Here is a 16,214-nt window from a genome sequence, read left to right as displayed (position 1 = left end):
TTTGGCTCCAGCAATATCAGCTGCATTCTGGCAGCAGTGGTGGCTCCTGCAGCACTAGCAGCTTACAGGGAGCTGCCTGCTCAGTGGGAGGGGCTGGCCATTTCACCATCACTCCAGGCTCCTGTGCTGTAGACTGGGAGCCACAGCAGCTCCCTGATCTCTCGTAACTTTGCCTTTGTCCTATTGCTTTTCCTGCCCTTCTAACATTTTTGTGACCTATTAGCTGCGATATGATTTGGCTCTATGTCCCCTCCCAAATCTCATGTCAAATGGTAATTCCCAGTGTTGGAGAAGGAGCCTGGTGGGAAGTGACTGGATCATGGAGGTGGTTTCTTATGGTTGAGCACCATCACCCTAGTGCTGTCTTGTGATAGAGTTCTCTCGAGATCTGCTTGTTCCAAAGTGTGTAGCACCTCTGCCTTGCTCTCTCTCTCTCTCCTGCCAAGCATATGAAGATATGCGTGCTTCCTCTTTACCTTCCACCATGATTGTAACTTTCCTGAGGGGTCCCTAGCCATGCCTCCTGTACAGCCTACAGAACTCTGAGTCAAGTAAGCATCTTTTCTTTATAAATTACCCAGGCTCAAGTAGTTTTTTATAGGAATGTGAGAACAGACTAATACAACCTGCATGAAATCCCTCCCTCCTTGAAAGTATCTAGAGTAAGTTTTGATTTCATGACTGAATGCTGATGAGCAAAGCCAAGGCTCTGGAGTGAGGTGGACTTGCAATCCAGTTTTGTCTGCAAGTTACTGTCTCAGAATGTTATCTGATGTGTCTAAGGCACATATTCTCTATAAAACATAGAGGCCGGGCACGGTGGCTCATGCCTATAATCCCAGCACTTTGGGAGGCCAAGGTGGGTGAATTGCTTGAGCTGAGGAGTTCGAGACCAGCCTGGGCAACATGGTGAGACTCTATCCCTACAAAAAATATATAAAAAACTTATCCAGGCATGGTGGCATGCACCTATATTCCCAGCTACTTGGGAGGCTCAGGCAGGAGACTTGCTTGAGCCAGAGAGGCGGAGGTTGAAGTAAGTCATGATGGCACCACAGCAGTTCAACGTGAGTGACAGATCAAGACAGTATCTCAAGCAAAACAATACAGACAAACATAGAACAACTGGTAACTACCTAATAACTTTGTTTTAAGGATTAAAATTCACATGTAGCCTGTATTATAGTGCCCGGCCAGAGGAATCACTCATTTTGTATCAACCATTATTATACTCAAAGGTAATTGATAGATCTGTTTATAAGAACCCCAAAGAAACATCATATCCCTTGCCCAGGTTGAGCTTTGCTTCGCAATTTCAGCACATGTGCATGTACACACACCTTCTGAATTTCATGTTCACTACCTAGAAAATTTGCTCCTCGACCCTGCTCAGCACACATCCCTCCCCCTGAACAAATACTAATCTCCTGATCCAACAGCAACGCATGTCACTGGCAGGGCCCTTCTAGGCCTCAGTCAGACTCACCCCTGGAGCAGCTTGGTAGCTCCGGCTCCCATTTGTTCAGGGCCTGGCACTTCACACGGCGGGGTCCTTTCATGACAAAGCCAGGCTGACACCTAAACTCCACAACTTCATTTAAGGAAAATAAGCTTCTGTTGTCAGATACCAATATTCCATTTTCCACATTTGGAGGCGTGCATTTGTTAGGTATAATGCACTGAGGGGCGGGGCCGCTCCAGATGCCCACTTGATCGTCATTGCTGGTGCAGTATATGGAGGGCTCACCCACAAGCTCAAACACCTTTCTCCCTCCGCTTCCAGGATTGCAGCGGTAGGTCACCACTGATCCATAGTGAAAATTCTCTCTGTTGGTGCTAATGAAATCTCCATTGGTGATGGTGGGGGGTAGCCCACAAGGAATTCCTGGAAAAAGGAAGAGCAGGATAAATAACAGTCAGTTTAAATAATGAATGACAGAAATCTCATGAGTCACTAAACTATAGCTATTTTTACATTCATTATTTGCTTTTAATCTTTGCTAACACATAGGTACATTTTTATAAAGTTGTAGCTTCAATGGGCATAATATGATGTGTCCTGCCTTTCTTACTGATATGATTTCCTATAGTATTTGCATGCATGTATTAACTCAATCCACATTCTTTTCATTTTAAATAGCTCTTTGATCATAGTGTTATAGTATTTATACAGTTTTCTCCTACTCTTTTCCGTTTGCTTTCTTAATTTCCATTTTTGTTATTAACCAAGGTTAGCTTTTTTAGAAAAATAAAATACAAAAACATTTGCTAAAAGATAAAGTATAAGGGATGAGAGAAAACACAAATATACACAGTAGGAAAAAGAATTTAAACATATTTTTATGTATATGAGAATATTTATAAAACTGTAGACTACAGGGGGTTAAATATTTTGAAAATCTAAATGATATAAATGGAAATACAAATTACCAAAATTCATTCAAAAATATACTTCCAAATGTAATTTCAAGGTTTCACAACATATAAAAGATATGAAGCTTACCAACTCATTTCATCAAATCTAAGTTTGATATCATAAGATGATATCTGTGTAAAAGTGATCATATATTAGTCCACAAAAACCCCTAAATACATTTTAAAGTATAGCAGTAGTACATAGTATACTGTGTTGCTATAAACTAGAACAAAATTTCTTCAACCCAAATCCCAAAACACTTGAAATTAAAACTGAGTGAATTTAATTGGATAAATTTAGAAATGAATGAATTAAAATTAAAAATAAAAATTTTTCAGGCTCTGCTTCTACTAATAGTAATCTCAACAGTTCAAATAAAATATTGCTCCAACCATCCACCCTCAAGAAAGGCTAGAAATACTGGAGAATTAAAAATATTTATCTGTTAAAGCATCAGAAAGCTAACAAACTAGTGAAGCATTCCTGGGCCATGATCTAGGAGAAGATGAGAATCCAGTTGAGAGCTGGGTATTTGGGCTTGGCAACTGGGCTGCTTATTGTTTGGGAATGGGCAGCTGAATCAGGACGGGGCAACTGAGAGGCTGAACAGACTTTTGATTTTCTCATGAAGTTAAGGGACAACAATGGAAGTCCAGGGCCTGCCCCAAATGGAAGGCCTGGTAATACCTTCTGATGTGTTCTGAGGCCACAAGAACTAGGCCCTGGTAATCAGGGTTAACTGAAAATAAATTTGCTGTCTCAGAGACTGGAACTAGTACTTCAAGTACTGGTACTGTGGGTGGCCCTGGAAAATCACAGTTCCTGAGACTGAATTAGAGTGGTCCTAGATTGCTAATGTCCCCAGATGCCTGCAGAAACAATGACAAAAATTCCATCTGGAAGAAGATGGGTTATCTAAGGCCTTGAAATTATTTCTACAGACACAGTTTTCAAATAGAATTCCTGATACACAATCAAAGATAACCAGATATTTGGAGAGATAAAATAACACACACAATTACTGATGACAGAAACTGACCCATTAGAACTACAGACCTGTTCAAGGGTATAATTGAAACTTGTAAGAACTAGAAACTATTAAAAAGAACAGGGTGGGATGTGGTGGCTCACGCCTGTAATTCTAACGCTATGGGAGGCTGAGGAGAGTGGATCGTTTGAGCTCAGGAGTTTGAGACCAGCCTGGGCAACATGGCGAAACCCTGTCTCGACAAAAAAAAAAAAGTATATATACATATATATATATATATATATTATCCAGATGTGTAGGTGTGGTGGTGCACACCTGCATTCCCAGCTACTCAGGTGGCTGAGGTGGGAGAATTGCTTGAGCCTGTGAAGGTTGAGGCTGCAGTGAGCTATGATTATGCTACTGTGCTCCAACCTGGGCAACAAAGTGAGACCCTGTCTCAAAAAAAAAAAAAAAAAAAAAAAAAAGGAAGAGGGCAGATTTGGAAAATAAAAAGTCTAGAATTGTAAAAGTAAAATATGATTGCTGAAATTAAGAATTTGTGTGAGATTAATAGCAGGTTAGACTCTGAAAGAAAATCAATGAACCGGAAGCTAGGACAGAAGAAAATACTCAAAACCAAGCACCAATATATAAAAAGATTAAAAAATACAGACTAAATACATAGAAGAATAAAGCCTAGCATGTTTAACTGAAGTCCCTCGATGAGAAGAGAGAGAGAACTGAGCATAAACAACATTTGAAGAATTAATAACTGAGAATTTTCCAAGACTGATGCAAGACATCATTAAATTACAGGTTCAAAAGGCTATACAGGCCTGGCACGGTGGCTCATGCCTGTAATCCCAGCAGTTTGGGAGGCCGAGGTGGGCAGATCACCTCTTGTCAGGAGTTTGAGACCAGCCTGGTCAACATGGTGAAAACCCATCTCTACTAAAAGGGTAAAAATTAGCCAGGCATGGAGGCACAGGCCTGTAATTGCAGCTACTTGGAAGGCTGAAGTGGGAGGATAACTTGAACCCCGGAGGCGGAGGTTGCAGTGAGCCGAGATATCCCACCACTGCACTCCAGCCCAGGTGATAAGAGTGAAATTCTGTCAAAAAAAAAAAAAAAAAAAAAAAAACAACCAAAAAAAAAAAAATGTGCAAACCCAAGCAATACAAAGAAATTCTTACCTAGACACAACACAATAATATTGTAAAAAATCTGTTTTAAAGTGTAATCCATTTTAAAAGCAGCCAGGAAACATGGACAATAACCTTCAGAGGAACCACACTTAGAAAAATGTTTAAAGAATTTGTTGTCAGAAGCTCTACAATACAAAAATGCCAAAGAGACTTTTTCAGGCTGAAGGAAAATAGTTTCATATAGAATTGACAGAATTGCAATAAGAAGGAAACACACCAGAAAGAGCTCATATGCGGGTATGTTTTCATTTAGGATCTTTATGATAGAGAAAACCTCTTCAGTCATTACAAGAAACACAAGATGGCAGTAAAGATTTTATTACGGGCTGGGGGTATGGCACGCCTGAAGATCACACAGAGGTTGGTCAGCGCGAGGAGACAGACAGAGAGAAGGGGACCCATCAGCCAATGCCTTTATTGGGGACCAGAGTATGACCCAGCATCTTGCATCTACAAGCCAAGGTATCTCCCATGGGGAGTTCTAATTGGTGAGTTTAAAGAAAGCAGGCACATGTTCCAGGCAGTCGTGCTGCGACTGAGAGGTGGTCACGGCAGCATATCTGCGAAGTCCATGCAGGGCACAGAGGTCAGGGACGCTAGTCAAGTAGGTTTTATCTAGCTGTCCCATAGAGAGGTGGTCACCAGGAGGCAGTTGTATAAGGCAGATATCTGGCTCGACCACGTTGCAAAATTGGGAGGAGGTACAGAACTAGAAAGGGCATTAAGGGTGACTAAGCCCTGCTTCTGGCATGAGAAAGCTAAACATATTCTAAATGGATGCTGAGGCAACATAAAAATTCTAAGAATTCACTAAGGTGTAAATATAAATAAATACTGTTTTTATAAAGACAACAGTGTCTTTGAAATATAGAATATATGTAAATCGTTAAATCAAGTTTAGCCTAAAGCCTTACGTAGTTTAAGCTCAGCCTAAAGGTTTCTCTGTAAACTGCAAACTATAACAAGTGAAGATGTAAACAGACCGCAGACTACTCTTACGCCAATCACCGAGTTTTGGCCAATCAAATGTGGCCAACTGTTTGAACTGTTTTCAAATAAGGCAAACGCTGAGCTATAACCAATCGGCTGTTTCTGTACCTCACTTCTGTTTTCTGTACGTCAGTTTCCTTTTTCTGTCGGTAAATCCTCTTCCCCCATTGCAGCTGGGCTGGAGTCTCTGCGCTTACTTTGGCTCGGGAGGCTGCCTGATTTGCGAATCGTTCATTGCTCAATTAAACTCTTTTAAATTTAATTCAGCTGAAGCTTTTCTTTTTGCAAAACGTATGGCAACAATACAAAAAGAGGGGGAGGACATAAATGGAATTAACTATTAATAGTTTCGGTACTTGCGTTGTTTGGAGAGTGGTAAAAGTACAATTTTAGCAGACTATAGTAAATCAAGGATGTCTATCTCTAGAGTAGTCATTTAAGAATAAAAAATGGAATATAACTTAAAAGCTACTGGGGAAATAGAATAATAAAAATACTTGATGAATTAAAAAATGTGAGAAATGAGGAATAAAGGAACAAACACATGAAACAAATACCAAGACTTAGACTTTATATCAGTAACTATATTAAATTTATTTATTTTTAATTTTTATTATTAAATTTTAATGTTCCAAACACACCAATGAACAACTAAGACTGAATAAAACAACAAAACCTTACTATATGATGTTTATAAGAGACAAGCTTTAAATATAAGACAAAGAAGGGCTGAAAGTAAAAGATTTAAAACACATATAATATAAAAACAATAAAGAAAGCTTATATAGCTGTATTAATATGCAAAGTAGATTTTAAGGTAAGAAGTATTATGAGAGGTAAAGAGAGACATTTCATTATGATAAAATAGTCAATTCAGCAGAAAGAATAAACCAAAAATTTCATGCATTTAATAACATGTTTAAAATACATAAAGTAAAAATTGCTAGAACAAAGAGGAAAGACAGACAAATTCATAGTTGTAGTTGGGGATTGTAATGGGTTGAATAACCACTGTCCTCCTTAAAAAATATCTGTGTCCTGATCTCTGAAACCTGTGAATATGACCCAGTTTGGAGAGTCTTTGTAGATACAATCACGTTAATGATCTCGAGCTGTGACCATTCTGGATTGCCAGGGTGGCCTCTAAATCCATGTCCAGTGTCTTTATAGGAGACAGAAGAGCAAAGGACACACACAGAGGAGAAGGCGATGAGAAGATGGAGACAGAGAAGGAAATGATGCATCTACAAGCCAAGGAACATCAACGATTGCCAGCAGCCACTGGAAGGAAGCCTGGAGAGAGGCACAGAACAGCTTGCAGATGGAACCAATCCTATTGACATCTTAACTGGATTTCTGGCCTCCAAACTGTTAAGAGAGTAAATTTCTCTTCTTTGAAGCCACTAAGTTTGTGGTAATTTGTTACAGCAGCCCTGGGAAACTAATACAGATATTTTACACATGCTTCTCCATAACTGAGAGAACAAGTGGAGGGGGAAAAAAAGACTGTTCTAAACCACATTTTCCTAAATGACATTTCTAGAAAATGAAGCAAAATAACTGTACATTCAAGTGCATATGTAACATTTTACCAAAATCGTCCATATTCTGGGCAATAAACCATGTCTCAAATGATTAAATTAATGAAAGAATGATAACTAGAAGATCTCTAAATATTTAGAAATTAAGCAATGCCCTTCTAAACAGCCTATGGGTCAGAGGAGATATTAAAAGTGAAATTAGAAAGCTTTTATGTACAATGATAATAAAAATATAAAGATTGTTGGAAATAAATAAAACAGTTTTAGAGAAAAATTGATAGGTTAAATGTACATATTAGAAAAATAAAGGTTGGAAACAAATTAATTAGTATCAAGAATTTAGGACTGGAGGAATACACAAAGCTTAAAGCAGAAATCAATAAAAGAGAAAATAGTCATAAACTAAAGAAAAAACAAGAAAGTTAAAAGTTGTTTTTCTGAAAAGCTTAGTAAAATTGATAAAGCCCCGGTAAAACTAATCAAGGAAAAAGAAGCAAAAGAAATTACCAATATCAGAAATTAATGAGTGTAAGGGTATCACTACAGAACTTACAGGCATCCAAAGGCTAATATGAGACTATAATAAACAGCATTATGCTGATAACCTAGGAAATCTAAATAAAATGAGTAAATTCCTTGAAAAATATAACTTACCCAAACTAATTCAATAAGATATAAAATAATAGTTTTACAGCTATTAAAGATATTAAATCCTGACAACAACAACAACAAACCCTCAGGTCCAGATTGCTTCACTGCTGAATTCTTCCAAACATATAAGGAAAAATAATGTTACACAAATTGTTCCAGACACTAGAAAAAATAAATAATTTTTAACACATTTTATCAGGCCAACATAATCTTGATGCCCAAACCTGATAAGGACATTAAAATAAAAGCAAATTATAACCCAAGATCTCTTGAGAATATAAATGCAAATTTTCTGAACAAAATATTATGAAACTGAATCCAGCAATATTTCCAAAGGATGATACAATGATCAAAGTGAGGTTTACCTTGACTGATTTTAAATATTAAATCAATGTTACAATGTTACAATAAAAATATGAGCAATCCTGCACACACACACACGCATATCCCCCATACATAGGATAATCATCTATAACACATCACAAGCAACATAGGTTTATTCTAGGAATTCAGCGTTTGTCTTTTAAACATCAATCAATGTAATATATTACATTAACAGAGTGAAAAAGAAACATGATAATCTCAATACATGCAGTGATCAATTAGAAAGAACATTCATAAATCTTTTAGTAATTAGAAAGAAAGGGGAGTTTCCTTAATCTAATAAAGGATATCATGCAAAAATCTACAGCATACATCATGATTTATGAGGACTATTAAAAGCCTTGTATCATGTCTTCTATTCAATATTGTACTGGAGGTTCTAGCCAATGCAATAAAGCAAGAGAAATAAACAAAAGACATAAGAAAGGAAAAGATGTAAAAACTTTGTCAGATTCATAGATGACATAATTACACAGCAAATTCAAAAGAATCTACAGATAAACTATTCAATTTATAAGTAAATTTAACAAATTTGCTGGAGCTGAGATGAAACAGGTGCATATCTAAGAAGTAAATAATTAAAGAATGAAATTTTAAAAATAATATGTCAGAATAAAGATAATGAAATAGGTACATGACTTCTATAATGTACATTAACAAATATTATTAAAAGAAATTAAAGAAGACTTCAAAATGGGAGGATATATCATATTCATAAATTTAAACTTCAAAACTGTAAATTTGTTACTTGTCCACAAATTGATCTACTGAGTCAACAGAAACTTAATACAAATTCAAGTAGGATTCTTTATGTGGAAATTGACAAGCTGATTCTAAATTTTATATGGTAATGCAAAGGGCCAAGAATCACCAAGTAAATCTTGAAGATGCACATAGTTAGGAGATATATGCTACCAGATATCAAATCTTAATGTAATGCTATAGTAATTAAAATCTTAATGTAGTGCTTATAGTATGGCAAATAAACCAGTGAAACAGAACCTCTCTGGAATGAGATCCACTCATAAGGTCACCTGACTTATGGTCATGGTGGTGTCGCATTGCACTATGCAAGGAATAGTCTTTTTAATAGATGATATTAGATCTATTGCCCATCCATAAGAAACAGGGCTTTGTCACCTAGGCTGGAGTGCAGTGGCACCATCATAACTCACTGAAGCCTTGAACCTCTGTGCTCAAGGGATCCTCCCACCTCAGCCTCCCAAGTAGCTGGGACTACAGGCATGTGCCACTGAGCCCAGCTAATTTTATATATTTATTTTTTTTGTAGAGACAGGGTCTCACTCTGCTGCCCAGGCTGGTCTTGAACTCCTGGCTTCAAGCAATCCTCCTGCCTTGGCCTTCCAAAATGCTGGGATTATAGACATGAGCCACCTCACTTGGCCCAATTGCTTAAGTAGAATAGAAAAAGCAGTAACTGGAAAAAAGAAGACTCCTAAATTGAATATTATTAAAATGTAGAACTTTCATAAACAAAAGACATCATTAAGAAGGAAAAAAGAAAAGCCACAGCCTGAAAGACAATATTTGTGTTACATTTATTAGAAAACATGAGAATATTTAAAGAACTTCTACAAAACAATAGACAAACTAATAAATAATAGGCAAAAGTTTGGAATAGCACTTCACAAACGTGAAAAGGTACTCAAGATCATCAATGAAATACAACATAATAATAAAGAAGACCCAACAATCCTTCCTGCAAAAACAAAAATGACTCTTCCAAATATAACATTGAGATGAAGCTGGACACAAAAGAGTATCTATTTTTTGATTCCTTTAATATAAAATTTAGGAAGCAACAAAACTATTAGTGTTATAAATCAGAATAGTGGTTTCTTTGGGAAGATAACTGGGAAAGGGCATCGGGAAGGCTTCTGGGGTGCTGATAATGTTCTATATCTTAATCTGAGTGACGTTTACATGGATACATTTACTTTGTAAAACTCCATTGAACTGCATGATTAAGATGTGTGCATATATACACACTATATATATGTGTATATATATATAGTGTGTATATATGTATACATATACCTATATATGTATACGTATACGTATATACCTATATATGTATATGTATATATACGTATATATATGTATATACCTATATATGTATATGTATATATACGTATATATGTATATACCTATATATGTATATGTATATATACGTATACACGTATATATACGTACGTATGTATATATACGTACATATATACACATATACATACACGTATGCATACGTATATACGTATATATACATATATACATATAAGTATATATGTATATATGTGTGTGTGTGTGTGTGTGTGTGTGTGTGTGTATATATATATATATGTTATACTTCAGCCAAAAGTCTACATGGTACAGGAAAATGGTTGGAAAAAAAAAAACTTCCCAAGAACGTAAACTCCAGGCCACATACCTTTTCTGGTGAATTATTTTTAAAGAAGAAATAATGCCAATCTTATATAAACCCTTACAAGGAAACAAATATATGAAACACTACCAGCTGGCTTTATAAGACTGTCATAGCTTTGATATCAAAATCTTATTAAGGACATTACAAGAAAGAAAATTATAGTCTTATCTCTAAAATATGTTAGGAATGGGATGATGAAAGTGTTCTAGAATTAATTGGCGGTGCTGGTTGCCCAATGTCTTAGTCTATTTGGGCTGCTATAACAAAATACTATAAACTGGTTAGCTTGTACACAACAGAAATTTATTTCTTGTAGTTTTGGAGGCTGGGGAGTTCAAGACCAACACTGGCAGATTCAGCATCTCCTCCCATGGTGGGAGGGCCAAAGGAGCTCTTCCGGGCCTCTTTTATTAGGACGCTAATCCCATTCGTGATGGCTCTGCTCTCATGCCCTAATCATCTTTCAAAGGCCTCACTTCCTAATGTCATCACTTTAGGGGTAAGGATTTCAACATATGGATTTGGGGTGGACTCAAACGTTCAGACCATAACACACAACTTTGTGAATATACTAAACACCACTAAATTGTATAATTTAAAAAGGTAACTTTTATGATACATGAATTATATTTTAATAGAAACATCTAAAATATATCATAAAAGCATATTTGCCATATATAAAAATGATTAAATATTATGACTGAGTTGATTTATTTTAAGAATGTAAAATTGAAATTTAAAATCATTTGCCTTTCAAAAATGTACTCAAAACAATTTGTTGCATTAACAGAAAAAGAGAAACAGATATGATTACATCAATATATGTAACTAAAGTGTTTGATAAACTTCAACATGATTCAAAGACATAAATTTTTTAGCAATGAAGAATATATAAGATAATTTCCTTATTTCAAAAATGGTTATCTACCAAAAGCCTACAGTAAACACCAGCTTAATGGTGAAATGTTTTAAACTTTAACTTTGAGATGTGGAACAAGACAAGGATGACATCTATTGCTACCAATGTTCAATGTTATACTGGTGGTCCTAGCCAGCGTGGTAAAGAAGAAAGAAAATAAGGAAAGAGGGAAGGAAGGAAGGAAGGAAGGAAAGAAGGAAGGAAGGAAGGAAGGGAGGGAGGGAGGGAGGGAGGGAGGGAGGAAAGGAGGGAGGGAGGGAAGGAAAGAAAGAAAAGAAGACAAAGAGTTAAATAAAATTATAATTATTTGGTGGTTTGGCACCATGTCAACCAGGCCAATTTGGAATTAAGTTTTCCAGACTTACTTTCTCTGTACGGTTCTGGACTAGGGTTATAGCATGAGAAATTAGCCTGATATTTGAGAGGCAGAAGTTAAGCAACAGCCATTCCACTCTGAAAGTTGTATCCTTGGATAGAGCTGGTGAGGCACAGTGCAGGAGTAGAGGGTTCAGAAGACAGACCTTTTACCAGAGGCTTGAGAAATACATTCACATGGGGAGTTTCAGCATCCTCTGCAACGGTTCATTCTCTGTAGGCCAGGAATGACAATGGGAACTGTTGCCATTGAACTGGATTCTCTGAATTCACTTGGGGACCAAAGGACCTCAGGGTGGCAGAGTCCCAGTGGCAGCACTTAATTGCCAGAGACAATGGGGGTTCTTGTAATGCATATTTGAGCTGAAACAGCAATCAGAATGATTTGATTGAAGAGGACATTGTTATTGGGCTAATTGATCATGGAGTCTCTAAAACCAAAGTAGACGGATAGCCGACTAAAGTGTTACTTGATTTGTATAAGTGTAAGAGTTTTAGGTCAAGTGAATAGAAGTCTGACTTGAATTATTGCAAAAGAAGTTCATTGTTCATCAACAATTCCTAGACTTGAATAGTTTATAGACCCAGAGCAGCACCAACGGATGGGAGACTGGATTCTCTTGAGGAAGCACCATGCTACACAATCAAAAGCATGTATTGTAAATCTTCCCCTAGCCTTTTCCAAGAAGACTTGAGGCCATTTACCAGGATTTGGATACAGAGAGGTTACAGAAGTAGAAACAGAGATAAAAAATAAATACAGGTATAGGTGTATTATTATATTTTTTGTTTTCTCTATTTTACTAATCTTTTTCATATTTCCAGGAAAATTCCTATTCCAATTCCATGTTTATTACAGATTTCAAATAAGATGGAAGGTTTCCCAATTTGTTTTACAAAATAGCAAAACTGTTTCTTAAAGTGGATAAACAGCAATAAATGTGTGACCAATGTCATTTGTAAACTTAGATTCTGAAGCTCTTAAACTTTCTAGTAAAAGTAACATTTTTAAATACCAAGAAGAAAAGTAAAGGAGTCCAGTTATCCAAAGAGAAGAGTAAGACAAAGATGTTATACACTGTATTTCTCTCAGCCTCAGCCTGGCCCTCACTACATAGGTGTATTATTTTTTAATAAAGTGAGATCTTGCCATATATGCCATTCATCTGATTCTTTTTCCACATAAAATACATCTCTTTCTAGTCATTAAGTGCTTCTTTATGCTGTCATTTTTTATGGCTGAATACCATGCCAGTGTATGGATATACTTATTTTCATTCTGCATAGCTGTTTTATGTTTCTTAGGGAATTCTTTATAATGGTCATTTGAACACATCTTTTTCCTACTAGTAGATTATTTCCAAACCATAGTTTAAAATATTTAGGTTACTCTAACATTTTAACTAATATAAATAATGCTGCAATGAAAAGTTTATACCAAACTACTTTAAAAAGTGTGTGATTATTTCCTAAGTATAAATTTTAAGAAGTAGGTTAAAATATATGTTCACTTCTGAGGTTTATAGTGCATGGGGCCTTTCAAGAGGATGTGTTGATCTCGTGGTACATGAGAGTCCAGGTTCTTCCACAGCTTCGCTAACCTTGAAGAGTATCAATTTTAAAAATCTTTACTGATTTGCCAAGCAAGATGATTATTATACTGGAGGTGGTAGAAACAACATAATTTCACGTTTATTGAAGTAAAATCAAGTTTGAAGGCTTTTATGTATTTAAACTTCTGGAATTAGAAAAGACACATCCCAGGATAAGGAAGAACTTAAAGAAAGAGTTGCCAGGAACCCCATAGGAATATTCGAGAACATTACCGCAGTCTTCAGCCGTGTGAAGGACAGATTGCACAGAAGGAATTCAGTTAAGATTTTTATTATTCCAGAGAAAAATTAGAATGTGTCGGTAAAAGAAATAGGAAGGGATATTTCAACTCACTGTCACAAATAGGTGTTTCATTATCCCAAATGACAGTATCACCTGAGATGATGCATGTGGCAGACGAGGAACCAATGAGTCGGTATCTAGAGGCAAAAAATAAGGAATGTTACATTCTAAAGACACAGGTCAACTACCCAATTAAATTACTACTTCCAGAGATTACACTCTTATAGGATTCAGAGGGACTTTTTACACTCATCAAAGGACTATCTATCACTTTCCCAAGTTTCACATTCTTCTTGGGACTTTTTGACTTTCTTTTTCATACATTCTCAATTGGATGAGCTTTCTCTTCTTTATTACCTTATGACACTTTTTTATGCAAATCTAAGATGAATTGTAGTTTTTCCTATAAATTTCATTTTTTAAAAGATAGCACAAAGTTCTTGAGTGCAGGGAAGCTGTCATATATATACATGTATATGTGTGTATACAGTCCTGTTGTATGTATTTCTTTGCCTTAAAAGTATGGATGCATGGATGCATGGATGGGCTTTTATCAATAAGATTCATTAAAGAAGGCCAAATTAGGCCCTTCACAGTGGCTCACCCCTGTAATTCCAGCACTTTGGGGGGCTGAGGCAAGAGGATTGCTTGAGCTCAGGAGTTCGAGACCAGCCTGGGCAATATAGTGAGAAGCTGTCTGTACAAAAAATTTATAAAAAAGCCAGGCGTGGTGGCACATTCCTGTAGTCCTAGCTACTCAGGAGGCTGAGGCATGAAGATCGCTTGAGTCAGGGAGGTTGAGGCTGCAGTGAGTGCTGATCATGCCACTGCACTCCAGCCTGGGCAACAAAGCAAGACATTGTATCAAAAAAAAAAAAGAAAGTAAAAAGGAAAGAAAGAAAGCAAAGAAGGAAAGAAGGAAAGGAAGGAAGGGAGGGAGGAAGGAAGGAAGGAAGGAAAGAAGGAAGGAAGGAAGGAAGGGGATACATAACTAGAACCAAAGGAAATCCAGGCTGATCAAAAAGAATTGAACACTCATTTTATACTTAAAATACTAAAGTCAGCAATTCTCAATTAGTATGTCTCAAACTGTTCACAGTGTGCCATAAATTTGGAATAATTTATGACATTTATTTTACTTCACGTTAGACTCTCTGTTGTGATAGATGGTTGGGTGAAACTAGTCATAGTGAGGGTAGGGTCAAACTTGATAGTACTATACATGAAGGAATGAAGCAATGTCAAATAACAGTCATGGTTATTGGTATAGCTGAGAACTTTGCTTTATGAGTATGTAAGAAAACCTGGCAACATAAAGCTTTATTCAAACAACAAAACAGTGACAAATGAAGATCAAATAAATAGTGAGAGAACAGTGGGTGCTTTTGAAGATACTTGATGCACTATTACATTATACTAGTGATTATGATGTAATTATTAATGACTTCAATATCATTTGGGATTTTTGTTGTTGCTGTTGTTGTTGTTCTTTTTTTTTGAGACAGATTTTCACTCTTGTCGCCAAGGCTGGAGTGCAATGGTGCGATCTTGGCTCACTGCAACCTCCACCTCCCGGATTCAAGAGATTCTCCTGCCTCAGCCTCCTTAGCTGCTGGGACTACAGGTGCCTGCCACCACACTCGGCTGATTTTTGCATTTTTAGTAGAAACAGGCTTCACCACATTGACCAGGCTGGTCTTGAATTCCTGACTTCAGGTAATCCACCCACCTCAGCCTCCCAAAGTGCTGGGATTACAGCCAGCACACCCGGCCTTATTTTGTTTTTTAATGCCTTCTAGTATACCACCAAAAATGAAATCATTTTCTATTGCACTGCCAACAGACATAAACACAAGTATGAAGTATGTGAACAAATGAAGTGAAGAACAGCTGCAATCCTATATGTGCACCTCCTCCTGCCTGTTTGTCTTAGGAACAAGGGATCCTGGAGGCTCCTCTGGCTTTTGACCCCACTGAGGTTATTTCTCAAAGTGTTCTTTTTGATTTTCTAATCATGGGGGTTGGGATAGGAATGGTGAAGCAAGTTCAAACTTAAGTTGGCATTTTTTTTCCTCCATACTATTGTTCAGTGTTGTAATACTGAACATTTTAAATATGAGTCAAAAGATAACTTTATGTTCACTGATCAAGGGGAACAGATAGAAGAATATTTTAATTTATTAAACTTGTGTCCCAAAGTAGATTAAGCAATTGAACAAATAGTGGTTTGAACACTTCTCATTCAGAATGTTTGGAGGAAGTAAGGCAGAGAGACAAAATCCATGCTACTTATTGTAAGGGGAGCCAGGGAGTCTCATATCCACTTGAACAGATTGAAGCCTTTACATCCTACCCTACCTTTTTGGATCTCCTGGGGAAGAGAGAGTTGTGGATTCACAAAGTTAAGCCATGGTTCAGGAAAAG

At 36.7% G+C, this 16,214-nt stretch overlaps 1 protein-coding gene across 1 annotated transcript in view; it reads right to left on the bottom strand.

The window, feature by feature from the left end:
* The window catches only part of CR1 (complement C3b/C4b receptor 1 (Knops blood group)), a 145,609-nt gene that overhangs the window by 116,270 nt on the left and 13,125 nt on the right, over positions 1-16,214 (bottom strand). Inside the window, exons 4-5 of the mRNA NM_000651.6 lie at positions 13,842-13,927; positions 1,487-1,885 (exon numbers count right to left, since the gene is read on the bottom strand). Of these exons, the coding sequence (NP_000642.3) occupies positions 1,487-1,885; positions 13,842-13,927 (485 nt within the window). The remainder of the gene's footprint in view (positions 1-1,486; positions 1,886-13,841; positions 13,928-16,214) is intronic.

Source organism: Homo sapiens, chromosome 1 (assembly GCF_000001405.40).
Source record: "Homo sapiens chromosome 1, GRCh38.p14 Primary Assembly".
Lineage (NCBI taxonomy): Eukaryota > Metazoa > Chordata > Mammalia > Primates > Hominidae > Homo > Homo sapiens.
The sequence above is the reverse complement of the archived record's forward strand: the minus strand, read 5'-3'. Positions and strand labels throughout refer to the sequence as shown.